Here is a 12,680-nt window from a genome sequence, read left to right as displayed (position 1 = left end):
TTCTCTATTCTATTTCATTTATCTAGAATTTTTTCTCTCTCTTTTGCCAGTACTGAACTGTCTTGATTACCAATTACAGTTTTCCCTAAGTATCCATGGGAGATTGGTTCCAGTACCTTCCAAAGATACCAAAATCCTCAGTGCTCAAGCTCTTGTTATAGAATGCTGTAGTATTTGCTTATAACCTATGCACATCCTCCCATATACTTCAAATCATCTCTAGGTTACTTATAATTCCTAACACAATGTAAATGCTATGTTAATAATTGTTGACTATATTGTTTAGGTAATAGTGATTAGAAAAAAGGCTGTATCTGTTCAGTTCAGATGCAATCATCCAAATTTTTTTCCAATATTTTTGACCCATGATTGGTTGAATCCACAGATGCTGAACCAACAGAAACAAAGGGCCGACTATATGTGTTAAGTCTTGCAATTAGATAATGTAAATCCTTTAACTGTGCTCTTTTTAAAAACAACTTTAGTTATTCTAGGTTCTTTAAATTTCCACATAATGCTTAGAATAAGTTTGGCAGTTTCTATAAAATGCTTGTTGGAATTTTGCTAGGAATGCATTGAATCCATAGGTTATTTTGGGGAAAATTGATATCTTAACAATATTGAATCTTGTAATTCAGGAAGATGACATACCTCTCTATTTATCTAGGTCCTTAATTTTCCTCAGCAATGTGCATGGTTTTCAGTGTAAACATCTTGAGTGCCTTTGTTGGACTTATTCCTAAATGTGTTTTATGGTACTATAAAAATATAATTTTAAAATATTTTATATTCAATTTTTAAAAATATGTAATTGAGTTTTGTATATTCAATTTGCATCCTGTGACATTGCTAGATTTACTTATGAGTTCTAGTAGTTATTTTGGACATTTCTTGTGGCTTCCAATGTAAATAATAATATTATAAATAGAAATAATTTCTTTGTGATATTTATGACTTTCATTTTTTATTTTTTACCTTATTGTAATAGCTAGGCACTCCAGCATAATGTTGAAAAGAAATGATGAAAGTGGGCATCCTTGCCTTGTTCCTGACATCAAGAGGAAAAAAAAATTAGTCTTATTCAGTTGCCTGTATTAGTCAGGGTTTTCCAGAGAAATAGAACCAATAGGAGATATATAGATACAGTTAGCCCTTCATATTTGTAGGTTCCACATCCACAGATTAAATCAGCTGTGTATCAAAAATATTAAAAAATAGCAATCCAGTAATAAAAAGAATATGAATTTAAAATGACATAGTTATAAGTAATCTGGAGATAATTTAAAACGTATGAGAGGCTGTGTGTAGATCATAGGCAAATACTATCCCAGTTTTATATAAGTAACTTGATGATTCACAAATTTTAGTATTTGTGGTGGGATTCTACAACCAATCTCCCATGTATACTGAGGGAGAACTGTTTATATAAGAGGAAATTTATTATAGGAATTGACTCATGTGATTATGGAGGTCAAGAAGTCCCAGAATTTGCCAATTGCAAGCTAGAGAATCAGGAAAGCTGGTGGTGTAATTCAGTTTGAGTCTAAAGGCTTGAGAATTAGGAGGTTGATGGTGTATGTCTCAGTGTGAGTTCAAAACCTCAAGAACCAGGAGGGCCAGTGTCTGAGAACAGAAGACGACGAATGTGTCAGCTCAAGCAAAGAGAACAAATTTACCCCTTTCTCCACCTTCTTGTTGTATTTGGGCCTTAACAAATTGAATGAAGCCTACCCACATTGGTGACAGTGATCTTCTTTCGTCAGTCTACCAATTCAAATGCTAATCTCTTACAGAAACACCCTCAGACACACTCAGAATAAGGTTTAACAGCTGTATATGGGAATCCTTTAGCCCAGTCAAGTTGACACATAAATTTAGCCATCACATTGGTTATAGGTTTTTTGTCTTCACAGCTTGAGAAAGTGCCCTAATATTTTTAAAGTACAGAAGTTCATTGCTATGGTTTCAGATTCTACTTTGCAACTAACCTTTAAGAAACCACTACTTGTGTAAGTGGCTTGTTCATCTGGTAACTCAGAAAATTATAAAAGTGCTTTTCCTTGCAGTCATCACCATCCTTCAGTAAGCAGTAGAAATGCTTTTTATGTATCCCCTATTTTGTCACCTAGAATAAGAAAAATATATGTAAACAAGAGTTAAGATTTTAAAAAATTAATCACTTTTACAGCTTCAAGAATATTCATAATTGAAATTTATTTTTTAAACCACAAGTACATTGAGATGAAGAATACAATGACCAACTAATACATTATTATGCTACTTCCTTGATTCATACTAAGTCATCAGTAGTTTTACCCACAATTGCTTTTGCACCTTTAGTATATATATCAATGTAATGAAAAAGGTAACAAATACCTTCTTATTATGAAAAGAATTCTGACACTATGGACCCTTTGAAATGATCTCAGGGGCCCCCTAGGGTTCTACAGGCCACACTTTGAGGACCCACGTCTAGTTTAAATCTACAAATAAAGCACGGTCATCATGGGATCTATACTAAATATGCTGCAGCTTCATTAAGGTTTCTCTGTTTTAGCAGGTCAGACCTTGACTACCATGGCGTTCTATATGAGCTTTGAGAATTGTTTCACTTATGGTGATTCTTTACCAGGATTCATGAAGTTTTATCTTATAAATGCTCAACTTCGTATTCAGCCAGACTTAAACAGACTCCTATGCATCTAACAGGAGCTAGTCTTCATTCCTGGCCATTTGCCCACAAATTCCATCTGCTTCCACTTCCGATCTCTGCCCTTCACCTCAGCTTGGTTATACCCTTCCTGCCATAGTTTGAAAAATGCCTTAAGGTGGAAATCTTGGTAAGTCATGGGGCTTATCTCATTTATTTCCCTTCTCCCACACATCCTGGTTCTTTACTGCTTGTTGTTAAATATTTAAATATAGTAAAATTTTGTGTGTGTTTGTGTGTGTAACATCTATTTCAGTTTTCTAATTTTTCACCATCGAAGATCAAATTTGGCTCCATTTACTCCATTATGCCCAGAGAAGTCAAACTATCATATTTTTTTAACTTAATATTCCCAGTGGGTTTTTTTTAAAGATTTTTTTTCTTCTTGTTTCATAATGATTATATTTTTTCTTATCTCCTGAACTACTTTAAAATCTCGGTCCATCTTTTCTCTAGTACTTTTACCTGAGAAAGCATATGAAAAATTCAAGTCCTCGTGTGCCTTCTGAGGTGGTTGTGCTACTCTAATATCTGGTTATTATAGTCTCCGAGTTTATATTACTTGAGGGCATCAGCTCCTCTGAATGGTAATGTGATTTGCAGAAAAACCTAGAAAAAAAAGAAGCTCTCATCTGTGTTAGAGCTTAGTGATTTTAATGGGAAGAGGTGAATCTGTGGACTGAGAAATTGCAGGTGCCAGAGATCCCTTTTTTACCACTCCCGTTTGCTGCCGCTCTACCATGCAATTCTTCTGGTTATAACTTCATCTTCTAAACCTTGAAAAAGCCGTCAGAGACAGTTTCCTCATAGTATAACACCAACATTGAAGGTTTTGATCTGAAGGCGTGGACAATAAAGGCCTGAGGAGAAGAGGTTAACCATGTCTCTTCTCATCAACTTCTTACCCTAGTGGAGTTTTGCAACTACCCTATTAACCCCTCAGAAACCTGCACTGGGGTTCTGGTTCACTGCTGTAGGCCCCTCCCATTAAAGCAGCAGCCAATAATTGTCTTAAGATACCACAGGCAAACAGTGTGAAATATCCACGTCTTCATTTTCTTACTTGTTCTTGTCTGAAAACATCTGGGCCTCCTTTTCTTACTTTGGCTGAATTTGCCAGCCAAAAATAGCCCAGGGTTTCCTATAGATTTTTGATATTGCTTTTGTTACTGTCAGTTGCTGTGATCCACATTTTCTTTTTATTTCTAAGATTTCTCTAGGATTGAATAAAATAGCAGTGTGAGTGAGCCATCACTGCTATTTTGCTAGTCAGCTGGCAGTGGAAATCTCTAACTCTCAGCTTCCTTTTATGTGAAATGAAGGTAATATTAGTATCTACCTTACAGAGTTTTGAGAAGATCAAACGAGAAAGTACACATATCCTGGAATCTGGTACAGTGTAAAAACTGTAATAGTAGCTGTTAACTAATTGTATTCATGTAATAATTAGTTATATAACATTTAACAAAACAAAAAATGAGACCTTCTTCTACATATCAATGTATTATCACTCAAAGCGTATACTTATTAAACATAACTAAGGCACCTGATTGTTGTTGTCCAAGTATATCTTTCCATCTAGTTCACAACCATTTTATGAAAGACACCTTGTCAAATGCAGTGATAAAATTCAGAAACATTATTTTCACACAGGGCTATCCACCAGGATAGAAATTATCCAAAAATGGGCCGGGTGCGGTGGCTCATGCCTCTAATCCCAGCACTTTGGGAGGCCGAGGCAGGTTGATCACAAGATCAGGCGTTCCAGACCAGCCTGGCCAGCTTAGTGAAACCCTGTCTCTACTAAAAATACAAAAAATTAGCCCAGCGTGGGGGCAGGCGCCTGTAGTCCCAGCTACTCCGGAGGCTGAGGCAGGAGAATGGCGTGAACCCAGGAGGTGGAGCTTGCAGTGAGCCGAGATCGCGCCACTGCACTCCAGCCTGGGCGACAGAGCAAGGCTCCGTCTCAAAAAAAAAAAAAAAAGAAAAAGAAAAAAGAAATTATCCAAAAATAAAACGAGGTAGATCTAGTAAGACTTCTGCATTGTAAACTCAAGCTTAAAAATGAAATAATAATCATTGTTATCAAAGTGCTCATAAACCCCTTATAAGTGAATAGATTGCACCAAATTGCCAGAAATCTAACCAGGCGATCATTCACAGGACCACACGGTCATATCCTATCCTCTTGCACCTTCCTTTTAATAAAGGGTTTAGTACTCTCGTAAATAAGACTCTTTGTAGTCAGGAAAATCACTCATTTTGGTTAGGAGATTTAAATTCAGTCAGTGAAACTAGTTCTTTCTTACATCTCTTATCCTAACAAGCCTTTTCACAGTGAGTATAAGGTAAAATATTATTCTAGGAAGTTCTGTTTATTATCCCTGACTTTTGTCAGACCATCATTGCTGGGACTATTCCTTTCTTGGTCTTTTCCTCCAACATAATTTGTAGATATCTTTGGCCTTTTAAAAAATTAAGTAAAAATATATATTTATGGTGTACAACACAATGTTTGATGTATGTATACATTGTGAAATGGCCAAATCAAGTTACTTAACATATGCATTACCTCAGATCATTACTTATCATTTTTTTGCGGTGAGAACCCACAAAATCCATTGTCTTAGCAATGTTCAAGTATATGATTCATTGTTATTAACTATAGTCACTATAATATATAATAGATCTCTTAAAGTTATTCTTCCTAACTAAAATTTAATGGCCTTTGACCAACATTTCCCCAAGCTTTCTGCTCCCCAGCCACTGATAAGCACCATTTCATACCAATATAAAATTTGATATAAAATTTTCATAAAATTTGATTTGAAAATCAAACTTTCTGTAAGTTTGATTTTTAAAATACTTTTCATATGAGATCATGTAGTATTTGTCTTTCTGTACCTGGCTTATTTCACTTAACCATGTCCTCCAGATTCATCCATTTTGCTGCAAATGACAAGATTTTCTCCTTTTTTTTTTTTCACTAGAGGATTTTTATTATTATTATTATACTTTAAGTTCTAGGATACATGTGCACAATGTGTAGTCTTGTTGCATGGGTATACATATGCCATGTTGGTTTGCTGCACCCATCAACTCATCATTTACATTAGGTATTTCTCCTAATGCTATCCCTCCCCCAAACCCCCACCCCCTGACAGGCCCTGGTGTGTGATGTTCCCTGCCCTATGTCCAAGTGTTCTCGTTGTTCAGTTCCCACCTATGAGTGAGAATATGCGGTGTTTGGTTTTCTGTCCTTGTGATAGTTTGCTGAGAATGATGGTTTCCAGCTTCATCCATGTCTCTGCAAAGGACATGAACTCATCCTTTTTTATGGCTGCATAGTATTCTGTGGCATATATTTGCCACATATTCTTAATCCAGTCTATCACTGATGGACATTTCGGTTGGTTCCAAGTCTTTGCTATTGGGAATAGTGCCACAATAAACATATTTGTGCATGTGTCTTTATAGTAGCATGATTTATAATCCTTTGTGTATATACCCAGTAATGGAATCACTGGGTCAAATGGTATTTCTAGTTCTAGATCCTTGAGGAGTCACCACACTGTCTTCCACAATGGTTGAACTATTTTACACTCCCACCAACAGTGTAAAAGCATTCCTATTTCTCCACATCCTCTCCAGCACCTGTTGTTTCCTGACTTTTTAATTATCACCATTCTAACTGGCATGAGATGGTATCACACTGTGGTTTTGATTTGTATTTCTCTGATGACCAGTGATGATGAGCATTTTTTCATGTGTCTGTTGGCTGCATAAATGTCTTCTTTTGAGAAGTGTTTGTTCATATACTTTGCCCAATTTTTGATGGGTTTGTTTTTTTCCTGTAAATTTGTTTAAGTTCTTTGTAGATTCTGGATATTAGCCCTTTGTCAGATGGGTAGATTGCAAAAATTTTCTCCCATTCTGTAGGTTGCCTGTTCACTCTGATGGTAGTTTCTTTTGCCGTGCAGAAGAAGTTTCATTAGATTCATTAGATCATTTCATTAGTTTCATTAGATCCCATTTGTCTATTTTGGCTTTTGTTGCCATTGCTTTTGATGTTTTAGTCATGAAGTCCTTGCCCATGCGTATGTCCTGAATGGTATTGCCTAGGTTTTCTTCTAGGGTTTTTATGGTTTTAGGCCTAATATTTAAATCTGTAATCCATCTTGAATTAATTTTTGTATAAGGTGTAAGGAAGGGATCCAGTTTCAGCTTTCTACATATGGCTAACCAGTTTTCCCAGCACCATTTATTAAATAGGGAATCCTTTCCCCATTGCTTGTTTTTGTCAGGTTTGCTAAAGATCAGATGATTGTAGATGTGTGGTGGTAACTTCTGAGGCCTCTATTCTGTTCCATTGGTCTATACATCTGCTTTGGTACCAGTACCATGCTGTTTTGGTTACTGCAGCCTTGTAGTATAATTTGAAGTCAGGGGTAGCATGATGCCTCCAGCTTTGTTCTTTTGGCTTAGGATTGTCTTGGCGATGCGGGCTCTTTTTTGGTTCCATGTGAACTTCAAAGTAGTTTTTTCCAATTCTGTGAAGAAAGTCATTGGTAGCTTGATGGGGATGGCATTGAATCTATAAATTACCTTAGGCAGTATGGCCGTTTTTACAATATTGATTCTTCCCATCCATGAGCATGGAATGTTCTTCCATTTGTTTGTGTCCTCTATTATTTTGTTGAGCTGTGGTTTGTAGTTCTCTTTGAAGAGGTCCTTCACTTCCCTTGTAAGTTGGATTCCTACGTATTTTATTCTCTTTGTAGCCATTGTGAATGGGAGTTCACTCATGATTTGGCTGTCTGTCTGTTAATTGGTGTATAGGAACGCTTGTGATTTTTGCACATTGATTTTGTATCCTGAGACTTTGCTGAAGCTGCTTATCAGCTTAAGGAGATTTTGGGCTGATATGATGGGGTTTTCTAAATATACAATCATGTCATCTGCAGACAGGGACAATTTGACTTCCTCTTTTCCTAATTGAATACCCTTTATTTCTTTCTCTTGCCTGATTGCCCTGGCTAGAACTTCCAACACTATGTTGAATAGGAGTGGTGAGAGAGGGTATCCTTTTCTCGTGCCAGTTTTCAAAGGGAATGCTTCCAGTTTTTGGCCATTCCATATGATATTGGCTGTAAGTTTGTCATAAATAGCTCTTATTACTTTGAGATACATTCCATCAGTACCTAGTTTATTGAGAGTTTTTAGCATGAAGGGCTGTTGAATTTTGTTAAAGGCCTTTTCTGCATCTATTGAGATAATCATGTGGTTTTTGTCGTTGGTTCTGTTTATGTGATGGATTATGTTTATTGATTTGCATATGTTGAACCAGCCTTGCATCCCAGGTTGAAGCCGACTTGATCATGGTGGATAAGCTTTCTGATGTGCTGCTGGATTCAGTTTGCCAGTATTTTGTTGAGGATTTTTGCATCGATGTTCATCAGAGATATTGGTCTAAAATTCTGTTTTTGTTGTGTCTCTGCCAGGCTTTGGTATCAGGATGATGCTGGCTTCATAAAATGAGTTAGGGAGGATTCCCTCTTTTTCTGTTGATTGGAATCGTTTCAGAAGGAATGGTACCAGATCCTCTTTGTACCTCTGGTAGAATTCAGCTGTGATTCCCTCTGGTCCTGGACCTTTTTGGGTTGGTAAGCTATTAATTATTGCCTCAATTACAGAGCCTGTTATTGGTCTATTCAGAGATTCAATCTCTTCCTGGTTTAGTCTTGGGAGAGTGTATGTGTCCAGGAATTTATCCATTTCTTCTAGATTTTCTAGTTTATTTGTGTAGAGGTGTTTATAGTATTCTCTGATGGTAGTTTGTATTTATGTGGGATTGGTGGTGATATCTCATCTTTTTTTTATTGTGTCTATTTGATTCTTCTCTCTTTTCTTCTTTATTAGTCTTGCTAGAGGGCTATCAATTTTGTTGATCTTCTCAAAAAACCAGCTCCTGGATTCATTGATTTTTTGAAGGGTTTTTTATGTCTCTATGTCCTTCAGTTCTGCTCTGTTCTTAGTTATTTCTTGTCTTCTGCTGGCTTTTGAATTTGTTTGCTCTTGCTTCTCTAGTTCTTTTAATTGTGATGTTAGGATGTTGATTTTAGATCTTTCCTGCTTTCTCTTGTGGACATTTAGTGCTATAAATTTCCCTCTACACACCGCTTTAAATGTGTCCCAGAGATTCTGGTACGTTCTGTCTTTGTTCTCATTGGTTTCAAAGAACATCTTCATTTTTGCCTGTACCCAGTAGTCATTCGGGAGCAGGTTGTTCAGTTTCCATGTAGTTGTATGGTTTTGAGTGAGTTTCTTAATCCTGAGTTCTAATTTGATGGCACTGTGGTCTGAGAGGAAATTTGTTGTGATTTCTGTTCTTTTACATTTTTTGAGGAGTGCTTTACTTCCAATTATGTGGTCAATTTTAGAAAAAGTGTGATGTGTTGCTGAGAAGAACATATATTCTGTTGATTTGGGGTGTAAAGTTCTATAGATGTCTATTAGATCTGCCTAGTGCAGAGCTGAGTTCAAGTCCTGGATATCCTTGTTAACCTTCTGTCTCATTGATCTGTCTAATATTGACAGTGGGGTGTCAATATTAGACATTATTAGTGTCTCCCATTATTATTGTGTGGGAGTCTAAGTCTCTTTGTAGGTCTCTAAGGACTTGCTTTATGAATGTGGGTGCTCCTGTATTGGGTGCATATATATTTAGGATAGTTAGCTCTTCTTGTTGAATTGATCCCTTTACCATTATGTAATGGCTTGCTTTGTCTCTTTTGACCTTTGTTGGTTTAAAGTCTGTTTTATCAGATACTAAGATTACAACCCCTGCTTTTTTTTTTGCTTTCCATTTTCTTGGTAGATCTTCCTCTATTCCTTTATTTTGAGCCTATTTGTGTCTTTGCATATGAGATGGGTCTCCTGAATACAGGACACTGATGGGTCTTGACTCTTTATCCAATTTGCCAGTCTGTGTCTTTTAATTGGGGCATTTAGCCCACTTACATTTAAGGTTAATATTGTTATGTGTGAATTTGATCCTGTCATTATGATGTTAGCTGGTTATTTTGCCCGTTAATCAATGCAGTTTCTTCATAGCATCAAAGGTCTTTACAATTTGGCATGCTTTGCAGTGGCTGGTACCAGTTGTTACTTTCCGTGTTTAGTGCTTCCTTCAGGAGGTCTTGTAAGGCAGGCCTGGTGGTGACAAAATCTCTCAGTATTTGCTTGTCTGTAAAGTATTTTATTTCTCCTTTGCTTATGAAGCTTAGTTTGGCTGGATATGAGATTCCGGGTGGAAAATTCTTTTCTTTAAGAATGTTGAATATTGGTCCCCACTCTCTTCTGGCTTCTAAGGTTTCTGCTGAGAGATCCACTGTTAGTCTGATGGGATTCCCTTTGTGGGTAACCTGACCTTTCTCTCTGGCTGCTTTTAACATTTTTTCCTTCATTTCAACCTTAGTGAATCTGACAATTATGTGTCTTGGGGTTGCTCTTCTCAAGGAGTATCTTTGTGGTATTTTCTGTATTTCCTGAATTTGAATGTTGGCCTGCCTTGCTAGGTTGGGGAAGTTCTCCTGGATAATATCCTGAAAAGTGTTTTCCAACTTGGTTCCATTCTCCCCATCACTTTCAGGTATACCAATCAAACATAGATTTGGTCTTTTCACATTGTCCCATATTTCTTGGAGGCTTTGTTTGTCTCTCTTTACTCTTTTTTCTCTAAACTCCTCCTCTTGCTTTATTTCATTAATTTGATATTCAATCACTGATATCCTTTCTTCCACTTGATCAAATCTGCTACTGAAACTTGTGCATGTGTCACAAAGTTCTTGTGCCATGGTTTTCAGCTCCATCAGGTCATTTAACATCTTCTCCACACTGTTTATTCTAGTTAGCCATTAATCTAACTGTTTTTCAAGGTTTTTCGCCTCCTTGTGTTGGGTTAGAACATGTTCCTTTAGCTCAGAGAAGTTTGTTATTACCAACCTTCTGAAGCCTACTTCTGTCAATTCATCAAAGTCCTTCTCTGTCCAGCTTTGTTCCATAGCTGGTGAGGAGCTGCCATCCTTTGGAGGAGAAGAGGCACTCTGGATTTTAGAATTTTCAGGCTTTCTGCTCTGGTTTCTTGCCACCTTTGTGGCTTTACCTACCTTTGGTCTTTGATGTTGGTGACCTCAGATGGGGTTTTGGTGTGAATGTCCTTTTTGTTGATGTTGATGCTATTCCTTTCTGTTTGTTAGTTTTCCTTCTAACAGCCTGGTCCCTCAGCTCCAGGTCTGATGGAGTTTGCTGGAGGTCCACTCCAGACCCTGTTTGCCTGGGTATCACCAGTGGAGGCTGCAGAACAGCAAACATTGCAGAGCAGCAAGTATTTCTGCCTGATTCTTTCTCTGGAAGCTTCATCCCAGAGGGGCATCTGCCTGTATGAGGAGTCTGTCGGCCCCTACTGGGAGGTGTCTCCCAGTTAGGCTACATGGGCCTCAGGGACCCACTTGAAGAGGCAGTCTATCTGCTCTCAGAGCTCAAACGCCATGCTGGAGAACCACTGCTCTCTTCAGAGCTGTCAGACAGGGATGTTTAAGTCTGCAGAAGTTTCTGCTGGCTTTTTTCAGCTATGCGCTGCCTACAGAGGTGGAGTCTATAGAGGCACTAGGCCTTGCTGAGCTGTGGTGGGCTCTGCCCAGTTTAAGCTTCCCAGCTGCTTTGTTTACTTAATCAAGCCTCAGCAATGGTGGGCACCCCTCCCCTCCCAGGCTGCTGCCTTGCAGGTGGATCTCAGACTGCTTCACTAGCAGTGAGCAAGGCTCCATGGGCATGGGAACTGCTGAGCTAGGCAAGGGAGAGAATCTCCTGGTATGCCGGTTTCTGAGACCATGGGAAAAGTGCAGTATTTGGGTGAGAGTGTCCCGTTTTTCCAGATACAGTCTGTGACAGCTTCCCTTGGCTAGGAAAGGGAAATCCCCTGACCCCTTGAGCTTCCCGGGTGAGGTGACAACCCACCCTGCTTCGGCTTGCCCTCCGTGGGCTGCACCCACTGTCCAACCAGTCCCAATGAAATGAACCAGGTACCTCAGTTGGAAATGCAGAAATCACCCATCTTCTGCATCGATCACGCTGGGAGCTGCAGACTGGAGCTGTTCCTATTCAGCCATCTTGAAACTGATCTGGTTATCTCCTTTTTAAAAGGCAGGATAGTATTCCTTTTTTTTTTGTGTGTGTGTGTGTATGTATATATATATATATATATATCACTTTTTTAGCACTTTGATCTGTTTCAGGATGCTTAAGTTGATTTCATATCTTGGCTATTGTGACTAATGCTGCAATGAACATGGGAGTGTAGATATCTCTTTGGCATACTAATTTCATATTTTTTAGATACATACCCAGTAGTGAGATTGCTGAATCATACATTTTACTTGTAATTTTTTGAGAAACCTCCATACTATTTTCCATAATGGCTGTAGCAATTCATATTTCCACTAACAGTATACAGGGATTCTTTTTTCTCCACATCCTCATTAACACTTGTTATCTTTTGTCTTTTTAGTAATACCCCTTCTAACAGGTATAAAGCAATATTGTGGTTTTAATTTCTGTTTCACTGATCATTAGTGATGTTCAACATTTTTCTTTTTTCTTTTTTTCTTTCTTTTTCTTTTCTTTCTTTTTTTTTTTTTTTTTTTTTTTTTTTGAGACAGAATGTTGCTCTATCACCCAAGCTGGAGTGCAGTGGCACAATCTTGGCTCACTGCAACCTCCACCTCCCGGGTTCAAGCAATTCTCTTGTCTCAGCCTCCTGAGTAGCTGGGACTACAGGTGCCTGCCACCACACCCGGCTAATTTTTGTATTTTTAGTAGAGATGGGGTTTCACCTTTTTGGTCAGGCTGGTCTCGAACTCCTGACCTCAGGTGATCCATTCACCTTGGCCTCCCAAAGTGCTGGGATTAC

General features: G+C 38.1%; 1 annotated feature.

Annotated features, from left to right (window-relative positions):
- Positions 10,033-10,187: a silencer, noted in NCBI's record as "fragment chr14:80506850-80507004 (GRCh37/hg19 assembly coordinates)". NCBI's record gives its function as "represses an EF-1alpha promoter that drives an FKBP-Casp9 reporter gene in an ReSE screen in K562 erythroleukemia cells {active_cell/tissue: K562}" and the evidence as "EXISTENCE:reporter gene assay evidence [ECO:0000049][PMID:32094911]".

The sequence above is a fragment of the Homo sapiens genome, chromosome 14 (assembly GCF_000001405.40).
Source record: "Homo sapiens chromosome 14, GRCh38.p14 Primary Assembly".
Lineage (NCBI taxonomy): Eukaryota > Metazoa > Chordata > Mammalia > Primates > Hominidae > Homo > Homo sapiens.
Note: the sequence above shows the minus strand (reverse complement) of the source record. Positions and strands in the feature narration are given on the sequence as shown.